General features: G+C 36.2%; 1 annotated feature.

Moving 5' to 3' along the window:
* Positions 22522–22691: an enhancer, noted in NCBI's record as "experimental_108038 CRE fragment used in MPRA reporter constructs". NCBI's record gives its function as "activates a minimal promoter by MPRAs in K562 erythroleukemia cells, with activity observed for both the introgressed and non-introgressed 9:32031664 variant alleles {active_cell/tissue: K562}" and the evidence as "EXISTENCE:reporter gene assay evidence [ECO:0000049][PMID:34662402]".

Raw genomic sequence — 27372 nt, forward strand, 5'->3', positions numbered from 1 at the left:
TCCTCCTTTTTCCTTGGGAGATTCTGAAAAGGGCAGATGTGTAGGAAGGCACAGAATGGGGATGTTTGGTTCTGTACTTAAATTTCTGAGCCTCAGTCCACAAAAATTTCAGCAATATTTGTACTTAGGGCTACATGAATTCTATCTCTGTGGGCTTCCCCTCCCCATTCCCAGATTTACTATAAATGCTCCTTAAAACGTATCTAAGCTGTTATTTTATGATAGCTTTCCTTAATTTGTTTATAGCTATTGCGCATTTTCAATGTTTGGACTAACATTATGTTCAAATATCTAGATATTTTCTCTTTGCCATATGTTTCAAATAAAGAAATGTTTATACCTCTTTGGAGAAAAAAACGGGAAAATGAGGGAGAAAATAAATTATAGAATGAGTATGTTAAGCTAAATCCTCATTTTTTATAACAAGAATTTAATAGACTATATTAAAAAATAATAAATCAATAAATAGTAATATTACATTATTTAATAAAAGGAGACAACTAAAATTAATAACTGAGCCCATTAAAAGATAATTCAAAAGAGATTAGAATTGGAGAAGATCTATGTGTAGGATCATTCTATTTATTTTTACTATAACCCTTTAAAATATTTTTATTATATGTTTATTTTGCTGTGATAAAAATAAAAATAAACACCAAAAACTAAAAATGAGAACAAAAAGGTAAACTAACAAATATCTGAGGACTATCATAGCTCAACTATCAAACTTTTGTTTGCTAAGAACTAAGAGAAATTAAACAATTTTGTCTAATAAGAGTATTGCCATGTATTACATATTAAGAAATTAAAAGTATGAGCTTAAGAGTGAATTTTAGCATCAGTAACTTCAGGGTTTCATGTTCCAAAAAGCCTGTATGACAGTTTTTTAGTTTTTTCTCTAGCTCATGAACTGATTTGCATCAGAGTTAAAACAAGAAGATAAATAGTGCTGGAGCTGGGAAGCATTGATTGTTAGAAACTGCCAAGAAGAACACAATTGCTAATGTAAATGACAAATATTAGAGGAAGAATACACTTTACAAATGACCATTAAAAATGACACAAAGAAATGATTGCTGTTTGGAAAAAAAAAAAACATTTAGTGTGTTTGGTAATTATGCTTGACTTTTTTTCTACCAACATATAAACAATGGTTTAAAAATGAGATTCTAATCTGCTTATGGTACTTGATATCACTATCTTTGTATTGTTGATGGCAGCACGGCCCATTTGGAGCCGTCACTGCCATCATGCTGGTGGAAGCAGGGAGATGCCACCTGGGCTGCACACTCCACAGAGCTGGGAGGAGCCAGGGACAAGCGGGAGCCCCATCCCTTCCAAGCTGGTGGGGCAAGAGCTCCCCAGGTGCAACAGCAGCTGCCCAAGTCGTGGCTGCAAACCCGGACCTCTCACTGCACAGGGCAGCAGGAGCCCCACCCCACCTGTCTCAGCTGCAGCCACCCAAGTTACCACAGTGGACCTGGGCCTCCCTGTTCTCTTGGGAGTGCCGAGAGCAGGCAGAAGCCCCGCCCTCCTGGGCACAGCTGCAGCCTCCCAAGTCGCTGCTGCAGACCCAGGCCTCCCACTCCATAGAGCAGGAAGGAGCCCTGCACCCCCACACGGCTGCAGCCACCCAAACCGCAGCTGGAGACCCAGGCATCCCTGCACTCTTGGGGGCCCAAGAAGCTGCTCCCTGCCTTCACAGGCTCAGAAGTGCCTGCTCCCTCTGCCTGGCTTCTCCCTGTTACTGGCACCCGCTCTGGTATCAGAGCAAAGTCAGGTGGAGCCCAGGTGCTGTCACAGCCTGGCCAGTTGTGCACATCCTCAGGGCAGTGCTGACACACCAGCCCCCTGTCTCTCAGCCTCCTCCAGACTTTGGGTGCCTACGAGCAAAGGAAGGAGGGCAATGGGTAGCTGAGGGAAGCTCCACGCCAGCCTTCAGGCACCCCTTGTCACCTACAGCCTGGAAACCATAAACAGCATCAGGAGGTAGGCTCCTACAGGTTCCTGGGCAGAAGGGGGCAGGTCCCTGGTAAGGCCCACCTTCAGACCAGGGAGGGCCAGCTGGCTGCCAGTCCCACAGACTGGGGTGGGAATTTGTTGTGCCTTTTCTGGGCCTGCCCATGGCCACCTATGGACCAATCAGCATGCACTTCCTCCCCTGTCAGGCCCATAAAAGCCCTGGGTTCAGCAGTGCTGAGCCAGCATTGGCTCAACCAGCTGTGGAGAGGAGTTACCCACACCAGGGCTTCACCTCTGCTGAGAGCAGCAGATGTCGGGATGACCAGCTGCAGACAGGAGCTGTTTTAGAAGCTGAGAGTAGAACAGCAGTAACAGTGTCCGGGTTGTGAGGAAAACAGGAAAATGAAGGTCAAAGGGTACAAACATCCAGATAGAAGATGAAGAAGTTCTGGAGATCTAGTGTACAGCATGGGTAGTGGTGAATGTGTTACTTCATTTGACTGTGGTAATCATTACACAGTGTGTATGTGTATCAAATCATGTTGTATACCTTGAATATATACAATCTTTGTCAGTTAAATATTTTTGTAAAAAAAATCTGTGGGCTACACATCTATCTACTTGAGAAACAATAAAAATAAAATTTTTGTTTATTTTTTAAAATTTATTTTTATTTTTTGAGACAGGGTCCCACTCTGTTGCACAGGCTAGTGCACAGTGGCACAATCACAGCTCACTGCAGCCTCGAACTCCCAGGCTCAAGCAATCCTCTCACCTCAGTCTCCTTGGTAGCTAAGACTACAGGTGGGCACCACCATGCCTGGCTAAGTTTTTTATTTTTTGTAGAGACAGGGTCCCACTATGTTGCCCAGACTGGTCTTGAACTCCTAGTTTCAAGTGATCCTCCCACCTTGGCTCCCGAAATGCTTCGATTATGGGCATGAGCCACCACACCTAGCCAAAATTGTTTGTTATGAAAGAAAAAAGAACATAAGTATTATATTAGAAATGCCATGGTGGTGACAATATGTACGATCAATTTCCTGATATATTTTAAATAATTTTTTCATGTGAATAAAATCAATGTTACATTATAGAAAATCTGGAAAATAAAAAAGAACACAGATGCTCTTTGACTTATGATGGGTTTATGTCCTGATAAACTCATTGTAAGTTGAAAATACCAGTAGGTCATAAATGTATTTAATACACCTAACCTACCAAACATCATAACTTATTCTTGTCTGTCTGAAACACGCTCAGAATACTCACATTAGCCAACAGATGGGCAAAATCATCTAACACAGAGCTTGTTTTGTAAAACATTTTATAATTAAAAAAATTCAAAATTTGAAGCATAGTTTTTGCTGAATTCTTGTCACTTTTGCACCATCATGAAGTTGAAAAAGTCTAAGTAAAAGCATCATAAGTTGGGACTACCAGTATAAATTACCTAATTGCCTGATATCTCACACACAGCAATAAATGTTCTAAACATCTTACCCATTTTATGCATATGTGTAATATTTAAACAGTGTGGGCATCGTTCTATACCAGCATTTTTTCTCTAAGCAGTTTGTGTCATGTCACAATCATGAGAGGATTCCTCCACAACATTGAATTGTAAAGCATAGTTCACAGTGTGGATATGCCATAACTTAGCAAATGTCCTTCTTTTATAGTAGCTTTGAAAGTTTTACATTTATTTTGCTGTTGAAAATTTCACTTGAGTGATCATTCTTGCTTGTCAATCTTTGTGCTTGTCTGTTATTATTTTCTAAGTTAAAAGGTTAAATTACTCATTCAAAAGATGAGACACTTTCATAATAACTGCCAAATAACACTCTGGAAAGTTGTATCCATTAACAGTTTTATATGCAGTGTGTGGCAACATTTATTTTATAACAACCATGTAAAAATTGGTATTTTTCTTTGTAGTCTTTACTAATTTTAAAAGTGAAAATGCTATCTTAATTTACCTTTATTTAATTACTTATGAGGTTGGGCATTTGTTTATATGTTTCTCAGCCATTGATGTTTCATTTTTGGCCTTTTACTTTTCATTTTTTAATTAATTTTATTTCTATGGTTTGATATAGTTTTTAAAAAAATTATTCAACTATTTCCTACATATTTGTGAGGTAGGTAGGAGAAAATGAGTACTGTATTTTTAACTTTGCTAGATAAGATAATGCCTGATTGTTTTTTTTTCCAAATAGTTTCACATTCTCACCCAAATATCATGTTGTCAAACTTTTAAATTTTGTTAATTTGGTGGGTATAATGCTTTCTTATTAATTTTGACTTGCATTTTTTCAATTGCAACTGAGGTTGACAACTTTTTGATATATTTATTATCTAATTGGATTTTGTAAATCTCTTTCATCATTTCTCTGTTCAATTGGCTTTTTCCCATGTATTCATTTGTTGCTGGTATATAGAAATACAAATTGATTTTGTGTACTTGGTATTTAGTTACTTTGTCTCTTATCAAATCAAATAATGTATCTAATATTACTTTGAATTTTCTATACACATAATGACAATTTTAAACCTCTCTCCTAATTTTTAAATATCTAATGTATTTGTTTGTTCAATTATTTATTCCTTCTTTCCTTGGCCTCACAAGTCTGGTAAACTGGACCTCCAGTTCAATCATGACAAGCGTTATTAGTAGGCACCCTTGAATATTTTCCATTTTTAAGAGAAAGTTTTCATTATTTCAATATTAATAATGATTTTTCTCTACATTTCTTTGTACTATACCCTGAGTACACTTTTTCACATTTAACTTTTAGTTCACTAATTTCTCTTCCACTTTGTCTACTCTGATTCTTAGCTTTCACTTTTTTTCTCATTTTTTTATAATTTCAAATTTTATTTTAGATTCAGGGGGTGCATGTGCAGGTTTGTTACATGGGTATATTGCTTGACGCGGAGGTTGGGGGTGTGATTGATCCTAGTCACCCAGATACTGAGCGTAATATTCAGTAGCTACTTTTCCAAGCTTTCTCCTTCTCCTTTCCTCCTCCTTTAGCCCCCAGTGTCTATTGTTGCTATCTTTATGTCTATGAGTACCCACTGTTTAGCTCCCACTTATAAATGAGAACACACAGTATTTGCTTTTCTGTTCCTGTGTTAATTCACTTAGATAGTGGCCTCCATCTGCATTCTTGTTGCTGCAAAGGGCATGATGTCATTCTTTTTTATAGCCATATTCCGTGGTATGTATGCACCACATTTTCTTTATCCAATTCACTATTGAAAGGCACCTAGGATGATTCCATGTTTTTGCTATTGTGAATAGTATTGTGATTAACATATGAGAGCATGTGTCTCATTTTTTTTTTTTTTCTTTGGGAGACGGAGTCTGGCTCTGTTGCCCAGGCTGGAGTGCAGTGCCACGATCTCGGCTCACTGCAAGCTCCGCCTCCCAGGTTCACGCCATTCTCCTGCCTCAGCCTCCCGAGTAGCTGGGACTACAGGCACCCGCCACCATGCCTGGTTAATTTTTTGTATTTTTAGTAGAGACGAGGTTTCACCATGTTAGCCAGGATGGTCTCGATCTCCTGACCTCGTGATCTGCCAACCTCGGCCTCCCAAAGTGCTGGGATTACAGGCGTGAGCCACCGCACCCGGCCATTTTATTTTTTTTATATATACCCAGTAATAGCACTGCTGAGTCAAATAGTAGTTCTATTTTAAGTTGTTTGAGAAACCTACAAACTGCTTTCCACAGTGGCTGGACTAATTCACATTCCCACCAATGGTGTATAAGTGTTCCTTTCTCTCAGCAGCCTCACTAGCGTTTGTTGTTTTTTGACCTTTTAATAATAGCCATCCTGACTGGTGGAAGATGGTATCTCACTGTCATTTTGATTTGCATTTCTCCGATGACTAATAATGATGATCATTTTTTCATATGTTTGTTGGCCACTTTTATGTCTTCTTTTGAGAAGTGTCTGTTCATGGTTTTTGCCCATTTTTCAATGTGGTTATTATTATTATTATTATTATTATTATTATTATTATTATTTTTGCTTGTTCAGTTGTTTAAGTTTCTTATAGATTCTGGATATTAGACTTTTGTCAGATGCAGAGTTTGCAAATATTTTCTCGTGTTCTGTAGTTTGTCTGCTTACTCTATTGATAGTTTATTTTGCTGTGCAGAACCTCTTTAGTTTAATTGGGTCCCACTTGTCAATTTTTGTTTTTGTTGCAATTTTGAGAACTTAGTCATAAATTATTTCCCAAGGCCAATGTCCAGAATGGTATTTCCTAGGTTTTCTTCGAGAATTTTTTTATGGATTGAAATCTTATACTTAAATCTTTAATTCATATTGAGTTAATCTTTGTATATGGTGAAAGGTAGGGGTCCAGTTTCATTCTTCTGCATATGACTAGCTAGCTACCTAGCATCATTTATTGACTAAGGAGTCCTTCCCCATTGCTTAGTCTTGTCAACTTTGTAAAAGATCAGATGGTTGTAGGTATGCAGCTTTATTTCTGGGTTCTCTATTCAGTTGCATTGGTCTGTGTGTCTGTTTTTCTACCAGGACCATACTGTGTTGGCTACTGTGGCCTTATAGTATTGTTTGAAATTCAGTAATGTGATGCTCCAACTTTGTTCTTTTTGCCTATGATTGCTCTGGCTATTTGGGCTCTTTTTTGGTTCCACATGAATTTTAGCATAGTTTTTACAAGTTCTATGAAAAATGGTATAGGTTGTTTTGTTATGGGATCGTTGGGGTGTCATTTTTCTGGCCAGAAACATCTGTGGCTGGTGGTACCTTTGCTTGAGTTCTGTTTGGGCCCTCTGGGCTCGTTTCACTCACTCAGCCTGGCAGACTGTGCTCAGCTGCCACTACCGGCCTGAGTACTATGCCTGCCAAGGGTGAGTAAGGCGCGGAATGTCAAGGGTGTGTGGGTGAGCATGGGGTCCAGCCGCTGCAAACAGTCAGTCATGCCAGCTGCTGCAGCAGGGTAGGAAGCTCCAGGTGCTAGCACAGGTGCTGGCACTTTGTGAGGATGTGGCTGGACCAAGCACACTGCAAGCACCTTCCATGGCTGACACCAGGGAACATGGTGGCATCTAGAAGCTTGGAGACTCCAGGAACTCAAAGAGGGAGTCACAGCCCTGGCTCAGGGAGCTCCCAGGTCTAGAGTCACTTAAGGGCTTTAGCTCTCTTCTTTCCTTCTCCTCACCCCCAACATGGCAAGCAAGGGGCATATCTCAGCCCTGTTTGTGTTACAGCTCTTTTAGCCTCATTTGGCAAGTCTTGAGTTATTATCCTGTGCCTGGGAAGAATGAGGTATGCAGACAAGCAGAAGGTGAGCAAGACGAAGAGGAGCTTTATTGAGCGATAGAACAGCTCAGAGGAAGCCCACAAGGGGCAGCTCCTTTCCACAGCCAAGGTGTCCCAACTAGTGTTCAGCTGCTAGCAGAGTGCGTAGCTCTGAGAAAGCAATGGGGGGGCACTTCCCAGGCCCCTGAGAGTGCAGGGATGCCTGGGTTTGCATGCCTGCTCTGTGGAGTGGGAGGCCCACATCTGCAGCCATGGTTTAGGTGGCTGCAGCTGCACCTGGGAGGGCGGGGCTCCTGCCTCCTCCCAGCTCCAGCTGGCTCCATGAAGTGTGCAGCCCAGCATGGTGGCAGTAGCTGCTCCAGATGGCCCACAACTGCCATCAGTTTCATAGGAATAGCACTGAGTTTGTCAATGGCTTTGGGCAGCATGGCTATTTTAGCAATATTGATTCTTCCAATCCATGAGTGTGGAATGTTTCTCCATTTGTTTCAGTAGTGTCTTGTCCCCTTTGTAGAGCTCTTTCACCTCTTTGTTTGTATGTTTCGTAATTTGATTTTTTTATGACTATTGTTTTTCCAAATGTTTTTCCATTTGTTCATGTGATCCATGGTTTCTTTCAGCAATGTTGTGTAGTTCTCTTTGTAAAGAACTTTCACGTCCTTGGTTGGATTCCTAAGTATTTATTTTTTGTGTGTGGCTATTGTGAATGAGATTGCATTCTTGATTTGGCTCTCAGCTTGAATGTTATTGGTGTACAGATCTTACGACTTAGTCTCTGTGGGTAAATATTTATTTTTTCTAATGATTCTTAGTCATGGTGAATTATTTTCTTATTTATTTTGAGATGTTTGATTGTGAACTCGTTTTCCTCTGGAAGACATAACTTTGGAAATTTTTTGAAGCCTACATTTAAGAATTCCTACAGAGAAAACATGCATCTGTTTTTATGAGATGCCTTCTGGAACTACCAGTTGGCTTTAAATTTAAACTACCTTTTCAGGCTTTCTTCTTCAGAGTTTATTTGAACCATCATAATTGCGTACATTTTGTTCCCGCTCATGTGACAGCTGACCTGTCATTATGAAGAATCGGGAGTGTCTTTCTACTTTCTCCAGAAACAAAGCTGCAAGTTGATTTGTATGATTCTCATTATAGGATTTTTTTCCCCTGGAGTTTCACCTCTCCAGGAGCCCTGGCTTTATATGTTTGTTATCATTATTACAATAATCATACATGACTACTAAAGTTCTAATGAATCAAAACAAGGGTTGCCTTTCAGCAAAGTACATTTTTCACATTTTCCTCCAGTTGTTAAATAAAACTGTTCACATGCTATCTCCTAAGCAACACATTTCCCTATAAAAGCCAATATTTTCAAATTTAAATATTTTTAGAATTTTAAAATTTAGAATACTACAAGATCTGGAACTTTAAGATCTGGAAAAGCTCTATAACAAGGAATAATAATAACACAGGGATAACAATATCGTTGCATGGTGATGAATATTTTAAGCTAATGCATTCTAGATGCTGTATCCTATATATACATTTTATTCTTTTATTCTCTAATTCTCCGAGCAGAACAGAATCATTAATGAAAGTATGAATCATTCTACAATGAGAATTAAAATAATCTTCCTGTACTAAAAGGCACTTAAGATCCAATTGATGATATTAATTAATATTACTAAAATTGTATAATAATTGTAATTATTATACTTAGAAAACTTAGAAACATAGAAATTTGTATTCTTTCATATTAGCCATGTTATCAGATCGCATAAGCTTCTCTAGTGATCTTATCTTCAATTTCCTGAACTACATGATATAGTCTATTGCTCTTTGGAAATGCCTCAATATTTCCAAAATTTATCTAATACCTTAAAAAGGAACACCAACAGATGAACTTAGTTTTCAGCATTAAAAGCAAGATAAATATTTATAATACAATGAAAAACAGTCTTACGTAAAATTGCACTAATGCTTGTCATCCATTATCAACTGACATGGTAAACATATGGACCTGCAATGTGTGTGTGTGTGTGTGTGTGTGTACAATGCACATATACATATACACATGGTCATGCACTTCATAAAAATGTTTCAGTCAACAACAGACCACATATAAAATAGCGGTCCCATAAGATTATAATGTGGCTGGAAAATCCCTATCATCTAGTAACTTCACGACATCATAGCATAATGCAGTACCCACATGTAGCACAGTGCATCACCTACATGTTTGTAGAGATGCTGATGTAATCAAACATATACACTTCCAGTAATATAAAAATAGATCATACAATTATATATCATATAAATACTTAATAGTGATAATAAATGACTATGTTACTGGTTCATGTATTTACTATAATTCTTATCATTATATTAGAGTGTACTTCTATTTATAAAAAAGAAAAATGTAACTAAAACAGCCTCAGGCTGGTCTTCATTAGGTATTCTAGAAGAGGGCATTGTTATAGGAAATGGAAACTCCATGTGTGTGTTATTGCCCTTGAAGTCTTTCCAGTGGGATAAGATGTGGAGGTGGAAGACAATGATATTGATGACCCTGAGCCTGTGTAGGCCTAGGCTAATGTGTGTGTTTGTGTCTTGGTTTTTAACAGAAATGTTTAAAAGTGAAAAAAAGAATTTAGGCTGGGTATGGTGGTTCACGCCTGCAATTCCAGCACTGTGGGAGGCTGAGATGGGTGGGTTGCTTGAGCCCAGGAGTTGGAGACCAACCCGGGCAACATGGCAAAACCCTATCTCCACCAAGAAAGATACAAAAATTAACTGGGTGTGGTGGTGCATGCCTGTGGTCCCAGCTACTCAGGAGGCTGAAGTAAGAGGACGGCTTGAGCCAGAGAGGTAGAGGTTGCATTGAGCCAAGATCACACCACTGCACTCCAGCCTGGGTGACAGAGTGAGACCCTGTCTCAAAAAAAAAAAAGAAAAATAATTTTAAATTTCAAAAATAGAAAAAATTTATATAATAAGAATATAAAGAAAGAATATCTTGTCCAGCTGTGCAACATGTTTCTGTTTTAAGCTAGATGTTATTACGAGAGTCAAAGAGTTTAAAATTTTTAAAGTTCACAAAGTAAAAAGAGTTACAGTAAGCTAAGGTTAATTTATTATTAAAGAAAGAAAATTAATGTTAGAAATTAATGCACCCTAAGTGTCCAGTGTTTATAAAGTCAATAGTAGTGTATAGTAATGCCCTAGGCCTTCAGATTCACTCACCACTCACTCACTGATTCACCCAGAGCAACTTCCAATCTTGCAAACTCCATTCATGCTAAATGCCCTATGCAGATGTACTATTTTTTATCTTTTATACCATATTTTTACTGTATTCTTCCAAAGTGCTGGGATTACAGGTATGAGCCACCATGCCCAGCCAGAAAAAGCAATGTGGATATTGTTTATAGTTACATCAGGAAATGCAACTTTAAATCACTTTATCACTTTTCTGTGTTTAGATACACAAATGCTTACCATTATATTACAATTTCCTACAGTATTCAGTACAGTAACAGTACAGGTTTGTAGCCTAGCAGCAATAAGCCCTACCAGATAGCCTAGGTACGTAGTGGGCTATACCATCTAGGTTTGTGGAACTACACTCTATAATGTTCACACAATGACGAAATAGCCTAAAGACATGATTCTGAGAACGTATACCTATCATTAAGTGATGCGTGACTATATACATACATATACATATATACATATATTTTTGTAATATACTCTATATTTTATTTCAAAGGCAGTTGTGAAAACTCATCAGCCTTGATTGCAAATCAAATTATTTTTGTCCAGCATGAAAATTAACATGCTCTTATTCTACAAATAGAAAAATACACCAGATTTTTAAAGTTACAACATATATTTAGCAGCAGTATTTATCTTATTGCTTATATTTTATGTTATATACAGTAAAATACTAGGTATCTTATATTTTTATTAGTATAATAAAGGACACCTCCTTATCTTTAATTAATCACACAAATAAGATAATGCAGTTGGCGGAACATGATTCAAATATGAAAAAATATCCTTTCACATAATTAACATTGCTAGATGGATTTTTCTTTAGATATTAATAGATATGACATTTATATGAATTGCATATTCTAGAGGGTAATTAAACTGACACATGTTCAAATCAACTTTAGGACAAAACTGATTAAAAGTGTTGACTTCCAACCAAAATGACTGATTGGCTTTTAATGCACTGAATGCACTGTAGTGTTCAGAAGGCGATTTATACAGGAGAAGGAAGGTATGTTAGTTTCCCGTTGCTTTTGTGACATATCAACACAAACGTAGTGGCTTGAGACAACACAAAATTATTATTGTACATTTTTGAAGTTCAGAAATCTTAAATTCAGTCTTACAGGGCCACAATCAAAGATAGCATTTCTTCCAGAAGCTCTAAGGGAGAATCTATGTGTGGTAGGTAGAATAATGACCCTCCAAAGATGTCCACGTTTGGACAGCCCCAAATCTGTGACTATATTAACTTACATAGTAAAGGTGGTTTTGCAGATGTCATTAAGTTAATGATCCCGAGATGGAGAAATTAACCTGGATGATCCAGTGGGCCCAATGGAGTTGCAAAGATCCTTATAAAAGGAGAGCAGGAGGGTCAGAGTCGGAGAATTTGATGTGAAGATGGAAGTAGAAGTTGGAGTGACACTTTGAAGATGGAAGAAGAGCCATGTAGAGGAATGAAGGTAGTATCTAGAACCTGGAAAAGGTAAGAAAAAAATTATCCCCTAGAGCCACCAGAAGGAACATGCAAAAAGCAAGGAAGCACTTTCTCCTCTAAAGCCTCCAGAAGAAATGCAGCTCTGCTAGCACCTTGAGTTTAGCCCTGTAAAAGCCATTTCAGCTTCTGACCTCGAGAACTGTAAGGCAATAAACTTGGGTTGCATTTAGCTACTAAATGTGTGGTTATATCTTATGCCAGCCATAGAAAAATAGTATACTGTTTCTTGCTTTTTATCCTTCCATTATCAAGCCCACCCAATGTAACTTCCCCATCTCAACACTCTTAATTTAATCACATCTGCAAAGTCCCTTTTTCCATGTAAGATAACATTCATGGGCTCCATGGATTATGATATGAACATTAGGGGATGGAAGAAGGTAAGGAGGTATTCTGTCAACCACAGAAATTGATGCATCTTTTTAAATCAGAAATGTATCAGAATTATTAAAAAAATCAGTTCTAAGACTTCCTTTTTATTGCGGGAATACATACACTCAATTACTTCTACAGACTAATAAAACTTAAAAACATGAACTTGGCTATGGTGGTTTAACAAGAATACACAATAGAAAAGTAGATATGACTTCCAAAACAGATTTAACTTCCAAACCAGTAGGAGAAAAACAATGGAGCAAAGAATATCAGATTTAGCCAACAAGAAACAGGGAGGAAAAAATAATATGATAGCTTCTGGTATGTAAATCAAACTCATAAAAATCAAAAGAGAATTAGAGGACTCCAGTTTCATAGTAGCATATGTTAACCTAAATTTGTCTGAAACTGATAACTCACACTATAAAGATTACAGAATACACACACACGACATGATTTAAATTACTTAACACTATTAATATTAAAGATGATGGTGAAATAGCATCTCAATGAAAAACACTAAAATAAATGTTTGATAAAAAATGCTAGACTTCCCATTTTTAAAACATTGTATTTCTGCTGACTTCTTAGTCACCGCTAAAATAATGATAAATACAATTTTTAAATATAAATTTTTTAATATAAAAATCTAGAACAATGAAAATAGGAGTGAGGCCATCCTAAGATGAGTGATTTCAATAAATTTTGATGAATTTCACAGTGCTGTAAGGACCTCACCCAATTGCCTCAATCTGAGACAATTTGGGAACCATCTTAGCTCTACAGATACCTGCAGGAGTGGGCTGAGGCCTTTGGTTTGATTACCTGACAGTACAAACTCTCCCTTTGCCCAATTTGGCTTCCCTCACATCCAGGGGTATTAATCCAGAGACCTCATTCCAATAAGCTTCCTCTATTAAAAATCTCTCTCTGAGTCCAGTTCCCAGAAAACCTGAGTTGAAACAGGCAATATGAATCTAAAGCTTATACCATGCTATACTGATTCTCCATGTGCTGTATTTATAAATGTTTATACTGCTGCTAATGCACTGTCTATATACAAGTATTGTTTTAAGAGCTTTTCATAAGTTAACTCATTTAATACTAGAAATAAGCCTATAGGAGGTACTGTTATTATGCACATTTTACAAATATACCAATTCATACAGGACATAGATAGAGATAGAGATTATTTAAAATAATACTCAGAATGATTAAAAAGTAACACATACTCTGAAATATTTTGACATACTTTTCTCGAAAAATATCAAGATATTTTACCCTGTGGAGAATACTTTTTTTTTCACTTTATTACTTAATTATTTTTTAACTTTTTTTTTGAATTTCAATAGGTGTTTGTGGAACAGGTGGTGTTTGGTCACATGAATAAGTACTTTAGTAGTGATTTCTGAGATTTTGGCGCACCCATAACCAGAGCAGTGTACACTGTACCCAATGTGTAGTATTTTATCCCTCACCCACCTCCCATCCTTTACCCCAAGTCCTTTAAGTCCATTGTATCTTTTGTTTGTTTGTTTGTTTGTTTGTTTGTTTGTTTAGACAGAGTCTCACTCTGTTGCCCAGGCTGGAGTGCAGTGGCATGATCTCGGGTCCCTGCAACCTCTGCCTCTTGGGTTCAAGTGATTCTCCTGCCTCAGCCCCCCAAGTAGCTGGAATTACAGGAGCCTGCCAGCACGCCCTAATTTTTTTTTTTTTGTATTTTTAGTAAAGATGGGGTTTCACTATGTTGCCCAGGCTGGTCTCAAACTCCTGACCTCATGATCCACCCACCTTGGCCTCCCAAAATGCTAGGATTACAGGAGACAGCCACCACGCCCGGCCCATATGCCTTTGCCTCCTCATAGCTTAGCTCTGACTTATGAGTAACAACATCCAATGTTTGGTTTTCCATTCCTGAGTTACTTCACATGGAATAATGGTTTCCAATTCCATCCAGGTTGCTGTGAATGCCATTATTTTGTTCCTTTTTATGTCTAAGTAGTATTCCATGGTATATATATGCCACATTTTCTTTATCCACTCGTTGATTGATAGGCATTTGGGCTGGTTCCATATTTTTGCAATTGTGAATTGTGTTGCTATAAATAAGGGTGTGCAAGTATCTTTTTTGTATGACTTCTTTTCCTCTGGGTAGATACCCAGTAGTGGGATTGCTGGATCAAATGGTAGACATACTTTAATTCTTTAAGGAATCCCCACACTGTTTTCCACAGTGGTTGTACTAGTTTAGATTCCCACCAATGGTGTAAAAGCATTCCCTTTTCACCACATCTACACCAACATTTTTTTTTCATTTTTGATTATGGCCATTCTTGCAGGAGTAAGGTGGTATCACATTGTGGTGTTGATTTGCATTTCCCTGATAATTAGTGATGTTGAGCATTTTTTCATATGTTTGTTGGCCGTTTGTATATCTTCTTTTGAGAATTGTCTATTCTAGCCCACTTTTTGATGGAATTGTTTGTTTTTTCTTGCTGATTTGTTTGAGTTCCTTGTAGATTCTGGATATTAATTCTTTATTGGATGTATAGATTGCGAAGATTTTTTCCCACTCTGTAGGTTGTCTGTTTACTCTACTGATTATTTCTTTTGCTGTGCAGAAGCTTTTTAGTGTAATTAAGTCCTATCTATTTATCTTTGGTTTTGTTGTGTCTGCTTTTGGGTTCTTGGTAATGAAGTCATCTTTGTCTAAGCCAGTGTCTAGGAGGGTTTTTCCAGTGTTGTCTTCCAGAATTGTTATGGTTTCAGGTCTTAGATTTGGTCTATCTTGAGTTGATTTTTATATAAGGTGAGAGATGAGGATCAAGTTTCATTCTCCTACATGTGGCTTCCCAATTATCCCAGCACCCTTTGTTGAATAGGGTGTCCTTTCCTCATTTTATGTTTTTGTTTGCCTTATTGAAGATCAGTTGGCTGTAACTATTTAGCTTTATTTCTGGGTTCTCTATGCTGTTTCATTGGTCTATGCCTATTTCTATACCAGTACTATGTTGTTTTGGTTACTATGGGCTTATAGAATAGTTTGAAGTCAGGTGATGTAATGCCTCCAGATTCGTTCCTTTTGCTTAGACTTGCTTTGGCTATGTGGACTATTTGTTTTGGTTCCATATGAATTTTAGGATTGTTTTTTCTAATTCTGTGAAGACTGATGGTGGTATTTTGATAGGAATTGCACTGAATTTGCAGATTGCTTTTGGCAGTATGGGCATTTTCACAATATTGATTCTACCCATCCATGAGCATGGGATGTGTTTCCATTTGTTTGGGTCACCTATAATTTCTTTCAGTAGTGTTTTGTAGTTTTCCTTACAGAGGTCATTCACCTCCTTGGTTCAGTATATTACTAAGTATTTTATTTATTTGCAGCATTGTAAAAGGGGTTGAGTTCTTGATTTGATTCTCAGCTTGGTCACTGGTGGTGTATAGCAGGGCTACTAATTTGTGTACATTTTTGTACATTGTGCTAGAATTGTATCCTGAAACTTTGCCGAATTCACTTACCAGTTCTAGGAGCTTTTTGGATGAGTCTTTAGGATTTTCTAGGTATATTATCATGTCATCAGTAAACAGTGACAGTTTGACTTCCTCTTTACTGATCTGGATGCCCTTTATTTCTTTCTCTTGTCCAATTGCTCTGGTTAGGACTTCCAATACCATGCTGAATAGAAGTGGTGAGAGTGGGCACCCTTGTCTTCATTCCATTTCTCAGGGGGAATGCTTTCAACTTTTTCCCATTCAATATAATGTTGGCTATGGGTTAGTCACAAATGCCTTTTATTATCTTAAGGTATGTCCCTTCTATACCGATTTTGCTGAGGGTTTTAATCATAAAGGGATGCTAGATTTTGTCAAGTAATTTTTCTGTATATATTGAGAAAATCATGTGATTTTTGTTTTTAATTCTGTTTATGTGGTTTATAATATTTTTTAACTTGCAGATGTTAAACAGTCCCTGCATTCCTGGTATGAAACCCACTTGATCATAGTGGATTATCTTTTTGATATGCTGCTGGATTCAGTTAGCCAGTATTTTTTGAGGATTTTTGCATCTATGTTCATCAGGGATATTGGTCTGTAGTTTTCTTTTTTTGTTTTATCCTTTCCTGGTTTTGGTATTACGGTGATACTGGCTTCATAGAATGATTTGGGGAGGATTCTCACTTTCTTTATCTTTTGGGAGACTGTCAATAAGATTAGTAACAATTGAGAAGACTTTTTTTCAACATCCATTAATATTTATCAAAGATTTGTTGAGTTTTTTTGAAACTTAGTATATAATAAATATTTAAAATAAATAATGTAATAGCAATATCCTCTGCTACAATGCAAAGTGCTAGAATTTAATAAAGGATAAACACATAAAATGAAACTAATTGAAAATTCCAAAAATAGAAATCAAAAAGCAATACACCATCCTAAGTAATTATTTATATAAAGAGAATATCAAACTATCAGTTACAAACTAATTAGAAATTAACCCATTATTATATATTGAAATTTATGGAATGTGACTAAAATTATACTAAGAGGAATATTCATAGCATTGCATGCTTTATTATTAAAGAGAGAGGAAATAAAAATGAAAGAACTAAAGATTCCACTTGAGAAGATAGAAGATTAACAAACTAAAGGCCAAAGAAAGAATTTTAAAAAGGTAAATATAAAAATTAGTGAAATAGAAGCCATTTTAACATTAGTATTTAAAATTAATTTTAAGGCCTATTTCTAAAATAACCTACAAATTACATAAAATTTCAGCAAGGTTAAAGCCAATGAACAGATCAAACAAAGTAAAATATTAGGAATAAAAATGAAAGATGATGTACACATTATAAATAAATAGCATATAAGTCAATGAAGATAAATTTGAAAATGCCTAAACAATATATTATTTTATCTGAAAAAAAGGATAATCAAAATAGACTCAGAATGATGTAAAATACTTAACTGGATCACTAAAGATGAGAGAAGTATAATTTTATCAAAGAACTATTAAGCATCAACACTTACTAGTTGCATGATCTTGGGCAAGTTACTTTTTTTCTCTCAATGGCACAGTTTTATCACAGATAAAATGGACATAATACACACCTTGCAAGTATATTGTAAGGACTGAGGTTTAATATGTCTAATGCACTCAGTATAAGAGTGATTTACAAGTGGCAGTCAGTTCTCAATGCATGTTGATCATTATATGAAAGACAATCACTCAAAGAATGAGCAGAGGAAAAAGAGAAGTGAAGAGGCTAATAGTAAATAGCTAGAGAGCAGGAAGAATACATTATTACGGGAACCAAGAGAGGATAGTTTTTGTTTTTTTTAAGATAGCTAACTGTGGAATATATTATGATATAAGGTAATAACATGAGAATTCAGAGAGGTGATTACACTTTGCCATTGCACAGTCATTTTAGAAGGCTGATTTTGTACTACAATTTAGACAGCAGTCAGATTCCAGGACTTGTTGGTTTGGTGAAAAATGGAAGGTGTGAATTGTAGGCTGCTTTGTCAAGGCTGCCTGTAAAGAAAAAGAATATGTGGTCTAAGAATATCAGGAATGCTTCTACTTATTGTTTTAGAGAGAAGACCCATTAGAATAATGATAGATATTGTGCTCCTATAGTCAACCTTTAATCCTCTAACTATAAAAACAGTTAATTTATGACTGTATGACTTTATCCATAGGTGGCTTTTGAGTGAGGCCAAGGAAGCTAAATGCCTAGGAGTCTCTAGTGCATGAGCCTCTACAACTTGCTCTGGGGAGTGGGTGGAGGGTACCCTAGTAATCTGTTCACATATGATTTGGTAAAATTGGCAAAGGTAAGTGATCTAAACCACAATCAGTTAAATCTAATGTCTATTTGTAATATACTTTCATCATATTATCTACTTTTCAATAGCTATAAGCATTTCTGAGAATTGAGTTAAGTTGGCAATGTATTTCATTTTTATTAGTAGACCATGTTCATGTGGGCTGCAGTCATTTCCATGACTGTTAGTTACTGCTAGTTAGTTGCTACTATCCATCCCACATAGGAACAACTTCTAGGAATACTCCTATGCCCTACTGTGTGGACTCACCCAGAAATATTACATGAAGGTGCAGGACTAGAGATTATATTGTGGTATAAACATGCCCTATGACATCTAGAAATGCACATGTGGTAGAAGAGAAGCAATGTTTGAAATACATGGAGCCAGAAGCCAGTTTGTATAAAAGTTAAGGTGAAGATTTGGTGTTCAGCAACACCTGGTTAAAACAGAAGTTCTTTCTTTTTCAGGAATATGCTCAATAACATAGCATGTATTATTTTAAACCCACTGTATAGTTATTATTTTATTATAAAAACCACATCAAATATAAGTTATCAGAATTTGTATGTTTATAGGACACAAGCTTGCAGGATTTCTCCAAATGACAAATACAGTTGGCTTCCCATATTTGTGAATTCTGCATCCATGGATTCAACCAACTATGGATCATAAATATTCAAAAAATTGCATTTGTACAGAACATGTACAGTTGTTTATTGTCATTATTCCCTAAACAATCTAGTATAACAGCTATTTTACATAGGGTTTACGTTGCATTAGGTATTATAAGTAATCTAGAGCTGACTTACAGTACATGGGAGGATATGCATGGCTTATAAGCAAATATACATCATTTTATATGAAGGACTTGAGCATCTTCAGATTTTGGTATCTGTGGGACGTCCTGGAACCAATCCCTCACAGATACTGAGAGACTATATTACCGTTTGTATGCAGCCACCTGTTTTACTTAACCAAACTATCAATTTTGCAAACAAATAGACATCAACCACAATGGAGGAACGACAAAATTATTTTTCTAGTCTCACTAAAGAAAGTTATATTACAAAATCACTGTCCTAAGAAGAGGTGATCAAAGAGTATGGAGTCAAAAATACAGAGAAGATAAAAGGCATTATAGTTCTGGTGTAACCTGTTAATTATAGAAGTATTTAATTTTGAGGTATCGTGATGTTGAGGAATTTGTCAACTTTTAAAAACTGGAAATTTATTGTGATTTTTTTATTTTAAGTAAATATGCTCATATCTAATTTTTATTACATTTTAATCCACCCATATCTACCACCAGATTGCAAACAAATTGACAAACTGGACAAACTTTTGTCCAATCATTAGCTGACCAATAAAAACTGAGTAGGAAATTCAGAGGTCACTTATTACGAAGTATACAGACTTGATAGAATTAGTCCAGGAAAGTCAGTTGGAAAAAAAAAAAAAAAAAACCAACAACAACAACCATGCCTGATGAGGACACTTGTGTTACTTCAATGTTGATACATTCCAAAAAAAACAGTTATTGAGTCAAAACTGATTCACATTTATAATTTTGTTTGTGAATGCCCAATTTTTCTCCCTAGCAGTTAACCAATCTACATGCTAATAAAAATGAAAATTTCTGAAATGAATAAATATTATTCAACCACGGAGCCACATGGTTTTTAGAGAAAATCTTGTTATTGCCTAATAAAGGCTGAATGAATAATGGACAGTAAAAATAATAGGTATTCACTACTGAGAAGAAAAATATTGTAAGAAATACTATATACCCACAACCATTCATTTCTTCACCTGCTGTGTTTCATACTTAACTTTTCATTGCCTTTCCTATCCTTTCTGTCTTTTTATCCTCATTTCTTTTATTCGTCTGTTGCATTTTCTTTGCACCCATGCCCTTCCCTCTTTATGCTTTGATAATAAGGGAAATGTCAGCTAGATCAGTATTCCACTGCATGTGGCATATAAGATTATTTTGTAGGATACTCGTGTGAACAATATTTCATTTTAATTGCAATGGATTTACTTTAACATATTTTTAAATAATGAACCTGTCATTACAATCCCACAATTTCATAGATATTATTGCTTAAGGCAATGCTATAAACTAAATATTTGTATTTAAAAAATAAGTTGATTTAACAAAAATGTTAAGTAAATGACAGTCTAAGTACTAGTGTGCAGTTGTAGGAAAATCATGAATTTAGTGAGTGAATGATTGAAATTAGAAGTACATTCTGTGTGCTGTTACCAGAGATAGCAGATCAATTTTTACTGTCAAAATACCACTATTATACCAAACCCATTTTCCTCAGTTTCCAAATTTCACATGCCCTGAAATTCAATCTGACAACTAATGGTTGTTATGCCTATGCTTCTTACAAAAGTAATATTTTGAAAAACATAAAAGTAACCACTAGTAGATTTGAACACAAATATGTATCCTCAAAACTGGAAACATTCTAGAGACAAAGAAATCATAATTTTATAAAAAGAGACCAATCAAAGGAAACAACAATTTAGTGTATTTTTTAAAGCCACATAAAATTAGCTAACCAAAGGAAAATATTTTCAGATGTTTTTTAATTACAACCTTTTCCCCTTTTTATAGTATACACATAAAACAAAGTAACAAGGAAAAATTAGTAAGCAAAAACCCAGCAGGCAAAAAAAGAAACATGGAAAAGGGGGACTGTATTACTCAGGGTTCTCTAGAGGGACAGAACTAATGAAACAGACATATATATATATAAAGGGGAGTTTATTAAGTTTTAACTCACATGATCACACAGTCCCACAATAGCCTGTCTGCAGGCTGAGGAGCAAGGAGAGCCAGTCTGAGTTCCGAAACTGAAGAACCTGGAGTCCAATGTTAGAGGGCAAGAAGCATCCAACATGGGAGAAAGATGTAGGCTGAGAAGCTAGGCCTGTCTCTCTTTTCACATTTTTTTGCCTGCTTATATTCTAGCTGTGCTGGCAGCTGATTAGATTGTGCCCACCCAGATTAAGGGTGGGTCTGCATTTCCCAACCCCCTGACTCAAATGTTAATCTCCTTTGGCAATGCCCTCACAGACACACCCAGGATCAGTACTTTGTATCCTTCAATCCAGTCAAGTTGATACTCAGCATTAACCATCACACTGACAAAATTAATTGCAAGTGAGGATCCATAGAAGAATGTATCCATGGAATCAAAGTGCATTTTATTAATTATGGTTAAATATTTTAATGATGATATACCCCTCTTGCAACTCTAGATGTTGAATTCATCTATGTGTGGGGGAGGGAGTGTGTACAGAATGCATTCGAATATGAAAAGCGAAACTAAAAGAAACAAGGAGAAATTGTTGGAGACAATACTTTTTGAACTCCTAAACATCTCAGTCTCTCAGACCAAACAAGACAAAAATAAGTACTTTAAAAGATTGTCCAATATCTATGTTTGTGCTCTGTAAAATGAGGAATTGGTATGAAATAATTTCAAGTATCCCCATAAGTTCTAAAATTCTAATTTATTAAAGGTATTTGGAAGTTTTTGAGTAACCTAAAATAAAGTTTCTCCCAAAAGAGTCAACATTATTGCATATGTGTTGCTGTTTCTTATCTTTACAAATGTATTTATAACACTCACCTTTTGTCATTTATTACCAGGCCTACACAGCCATCAGTGGTAGCCCTTGATACTCAGGTACACAGAATATATGAACAGTCCCCTGTGCTCCCAGGAATTATCACTACCAACCAGTAGCTGAGGTTATTATTCAAATTGTGCTATATGCTGTGACATGTTTTCCTTCCTGAAATGGAATGAAGTTTGAAGCAAAATATTAACAGCAAGCTAAAATATGAAAACTTGCTGCTGTTTGGAATTTACTTAAATGGGTCCAACATTTACGTCTACTTTTGTAAAAATTAAAGTAGACTGTAATCCATTAAGACATATCTATTATATTGTTTTATACAACCTAGCTATTACTATGCTTGAAATTTAGTTCAAATGTCTTTTGTGATAAAATAATAAGCAAGCATGTATTGACAAAATATTAAAACACAGGAAAAGTTGATTTTGTTTACTTCGAATGATTAAACAACATACGATAAAACTGTCAAGAGAATTCCTATTTGTACACAAGGGCAATCAAAAGAAGATTATCCATAATCTTTTTTCCAAGACATCAAGAAAGATTTTTCTAATGCAAAAGAAGATATTCTGATGTGTCAAGCAAAATTTAAAGCATTATGTTTAACTTACTCTTTTGCCAAATCAGATTTGATTTGTTTATTGATTCATATCACTTTGGTCCTATTATTTACTGACTCTCTGATACTTCTTTTATATCTGACACAATCAAATTTTATCCTAGAAATGGGCAAGAGATGTGGAGGACTTTTTTCTAAGTACTGGTCATGTATTTGGGGTCATGAAGAGCAGTAGGAGAGAAAAGGGGTCATTTCTCCTTTGATTTCACCAAATCACTTTCTGTCATATTTTCATAGTCATTGTAAGGAGTTAAAAATGGTATAAATGTTATTGTGAGTCAGAAGTAAGCAGAATGAACAGGGATTCTACATGAATTTCTTATTACAATTTTTTTTTTTTTTTTTTAAGATGGGATTTCACTCTGTTGCACAGGCTGGAGTGCAGTGACATGATCACAGCTCACTGCAGCCTCAACCTCCTGGGCTCAAGCAGTCTTCCCACTTTAATCTCCCAAGTACCTGAGACTACAGGCACATGCCGCCATGTCTAGCTAATTTCTGTTTTTGTTTTTGTTTTCTAGTGATAGGGTTTCGCTGTGTTTCCCAAGCTGGCCTTGAACTCCTGAGCTCAAACAATCCACCCATCTCGGCTTCCCAAAGTGTTAGCACTACAGATGTGAGCTACCACATCTGGCCTCGTATTACAATTTAGAGAAATTAAAGCCTGGATTTCAATGGAGGTGACTACAAGACAAATCTATTGCAAGATAAGATTAAATATAGGATAAAAATTAGGAAGTTAAATATGTGTAGTTTATGATATTTGTAAATCTGTATTGACTCGCTTGTTCCCTAAATGTAGATAGAATACCAGATTTAACAAGAAAGAAAATTGCAAACAACTAACATTTATTGATCTCCAAATCTGAGCACTTCCACAAATATTATCTAACAATCTCCCTCATTACCTTTATGAGGCAGACAATTGTCCATGTCAGAGACGTTAAAACTGAGGTTCAAAAAGGTAATTTAGTTGGCCAGTATCATGTATTATGGTCTTACTTAGGATGGAGGCATTCATCTAAAAATTAGGAAGAGATAGGAGATGAACATTTTTACTTCACTTTTAAATATCTGCTGTCCAAATTTGTTTTTGGTTTTGTTTTTGAGGACTTATTTCTACCAGGCACAATACATACTGTGGTCCTGCAAGAACTAACAGTGAGTGTATTAGTCCATTCGCAAATTGCTATAAAGAAATACCTAAGACTGGGTATAAACAAAAGAGGTTTAATTGGCTCACGATTTCACAGGCTGTACAGGACACATGATGCTGGCATCTGCTCGGCTTCTGGGGAAGCCTCAGGAAACTTAAAATCATGATGGAAGATGAAGGGGGAGCACACACATGACATGGCCAGAGTAGGAGCAAGCGAGAGAGAGGGGGAAGGTGCCACACACTTTTAAAGGAGCAGATCTCAAGAGAACTCACTCACTATTGTGAGGACAGTACTAAGGGGATGGTGATAAACCATTCCAGAGAAACTGCCTCCATGATCCAGTCACCTTCCACCAGGTCCCTCCTCCAGCACTGGGGATTACAATTCGATATGATATTTGGTGGGGACACAGATCCTAACGAACTATTGCTGTGTATGTTATAGTTTTACCTACCTCTGACCAGACCAGTGACACCACTGATCTTTTCAGATCATAAAACCTTGGCTCCCATAATCTCCTATGTGTAAATTACAAATTCTTTTTTCATTTAATATGTTAGGAATATCTTTGTTTTCCAAATTTTTTTTCATTAACTTATGAGACTTTTTCTCATCTAATTTTTAATCAGTTTGTTTTTAAGAACTGTATTTCAAATTCTGTCATGAATATGGATTTTTTCTTTTGAAAAGTCTTTCCTTATTAAATCATTCTTACATTTTATTTCAGTTTAGCACCATGTCTAATGAGCAGCTTTTACTTTTTGTAATTATTACAGAGTTGCTTATTGTTACTTATAGTCTATTCATGTAATAAGTCCTTTCCTTGCTTTGTTTGGAAATGATATAAAATTCATACTGGGTTCATTATTCCTGAAATTTAATAGGAAAATAAAATAAAGAATAGTTGCTTAAAATCAGATTTACCCTCTGACAGATAAATGCTTTGTGGCAAATCTCCTTTTAACAGTAAAGTGTGATAATATTAATTTTGCTTAAAAGATTGGAAACACTTAATGAAACTCATTGAAATAAAGCACTCTGGGGAACCACAAAAGCACTGCTCTAAGCACTATTTAATTGAGTAGAAATTTGGAAAATTAAAAGAGGCTAATAGAAAAAATAGCTTTTCAGTCATATGGGTAAATATAAAATTATAGAAGTGTGCTGTGTATAGAGAAACATCATTAATAATGGAAAACGATGTTCCCCCCTGCCTTTTTTTTTTTTTTTACAAGAAAAGCACCATTTAATCATGTCCTCCACATAGAAGCACAGACAATGCTAAAACTTCATCAAATTGTGTAAAGTCATTGCAGGCATTCAGATGATGCTTTGTAGGACAAGAAGAGAATACAGGTGAAGAAAGAAACATTCCAATTCTCCAAATTCTGTCTTTGGAGTCCCTCCATAATGTCAGTGGCTGTAGTACTTGATAAAGGGTTTTAGCCAATACAAGGACCAAATTCCAGCAATACCTTGGAGGACACAACAAAAATGTGGACTAATTGCGTGGGAAAAAAATCAGGAGACTACTGAAAATAAGATTGAAAGGAGAGATTTGGTGAAACATTATCCCAGTTTCCAGCTCCCTCTCCTCTTTATTCTCTAGGTTCCTTTCATTCCCACAGAGTGCCAAACCAGGAGCAAAAATACTCACTTCATGATTTCTATCCCTCAGGCAAATTGCTGATCACTGTTTGCCTTTCTCCCGCTCCAATCCGAGTCTCCACTTTCTTCCTTATCACAGAAAGCGTAGGTGGCAGGACTGCTTCCCCATCAGTACTTGTCTGTGGTTCCTCTGAGGGCATGGTGCAATGAGTGTGAGCTCCATGAAGGCCAGCAAGAGTGATTGTCTGTTTATGACATTTTGGAACATTTGAAATAGTTCCTTATGTTTATGAACTATGCCTATAAATATCACCACCAAAATAAAGATAGCACCAATCAAAGTTTTAAAAGCACAGGTCAACTCATGATACTTTATCTCACAAAGGAAATTAGAAAGCATAATTTAAATGGTTAAGAGATCAACTTATCACTAATGAGTGTTAGAAACCAATGCACAGAGGCAGACTTCCTTTTTGAAGCAGTTTGCTACATTGCAAAGAGTGTGCCAATAAGTCCAGGTTGATATATATATACCTTTAAAGTAAGCAGGGTCAAATGGGGCATGAATGAAACAGTTCTAATCATTATTACCACCTAAAAAAAAATCACAAACATATTGTTGTATATAATGATAAACTAGTATTTTAGAAACTCTTATTCAAATTAAATTACATCAAGTTGCAATTAAGTAGCTCATATTTTCTTGAAATTGGGTGGATTTCATTTCAAAAAGTGTGTTTACACTTTTTACATCATTATGTTTTATTCTAAACTAGGTGAAAATATTAATTCTGTTTTTGTGGCGTGCTGGGGGTTGGGAGATGGTGTTTGAAGCAGTCTAGCATGCATGCAAACAATGCGGAGTTTTCCTGCAGAGAATTTTAAAACACCAATAAAACCAACTAAAAGTTTATCTGCTCTTTGCTAACACCATGTGAGTTTTTGAGTTTCTGCTTCTTAGTATAACAGACTAACATTCCACCAAATGACCTCCCTCCCTATTAAAAACAACAACAACTATGAAACCTGAACATAATACAAAAGCAAATACCTTAAAGTACTGGGGAGGAAACAGCAGATTCCAGTTAGAGCTCATGCTCACTTGGAGGAAAGGAAACTGAAAGCTGTAGAAGGAAATTCTCATCTCTTTGGCTTTGGGCCTGGGACTAAGGGCAATTCCCCCAAAAAATGTAGTGCAGAGCATACAATCTTTCTGGTGCTGAGAATCAGAAAAGTGAATAGGAAACTATAAAGGGGGAATCCTAGAAGAGATAGAGCCAGACAATTGTTTCCACAAAAGCCCTCTATCCACATTGCTGGTTGATCTCCACCCATGCATGGGACCAACTCAAGGCAGCTCAGCCAAAGACAAAAACTGAAATGAGATGAGAGCTGCTACCATGAAGCTGCCAGAGTATGAATAGAGAAGCAGGCACACTTTGGTAGAGAGAGCATACTTGCCTAAGAAGAAAAGGTAGGCAACTCAACACTTGTGTTCAAAGAGAAAAAGGTTTGCTTCTCTGGTCTGGAGACTTATTATAATAGAGAAGTGAAGAGGGCGCAAATACTGAAGAGAATGAGGGAATCCCAGGAGGGAAAGAACCAGAGAAGGGCTCCGTTAACTTTCTCTACCCATATCAATGAGAGAACCCTAAAACATGCATGCATAGAATAGACTAAAAGCAAAGAGACTACAGCTGTCACACAAGAAAAAGAGTTTGCAGTTCAAGCCCAGCCAAGAAAAATACCTGTTATGAAAATGCTCATTGGATAAAAATTTAAAAACCAAAATATTTTCAACTTAGCAGCCTTAATATCCAACATAAAATACAAATTTACCTGATACACAAAAAAATCAAGAAAATTGAATACATCCTAGAGAAAAGGAAATCAAATCTAAGGTTGAACCAGGTTTTGGAACTAACTAATAAAGATTTTAAAGTGTCTTTTGTTGCTAATCCCAGTGTAGCAAAACAAAACATGTTTGAATGCATTAAAAAGCTCAACAGAGAAATGGGAAGTCTCAGTAGAAAAAGTGACACAGAGAAAAAAAAGAACTAAATGGAAAATCAA

The sequence above is a fragment of the Homo sapiens genome, chromosome 9 (genome assembly GCF_000001405.40).
Source record: "Homo sapiens chromosome 9, GRCh38.p14 Primary Assembly".
NCBI classification, from domain to species: domain Eukaryota; kingdom Metazoa; phylum Chordata; class Mammalia; order Primates; family Hominidae; genus Homo; species Homo sapiens.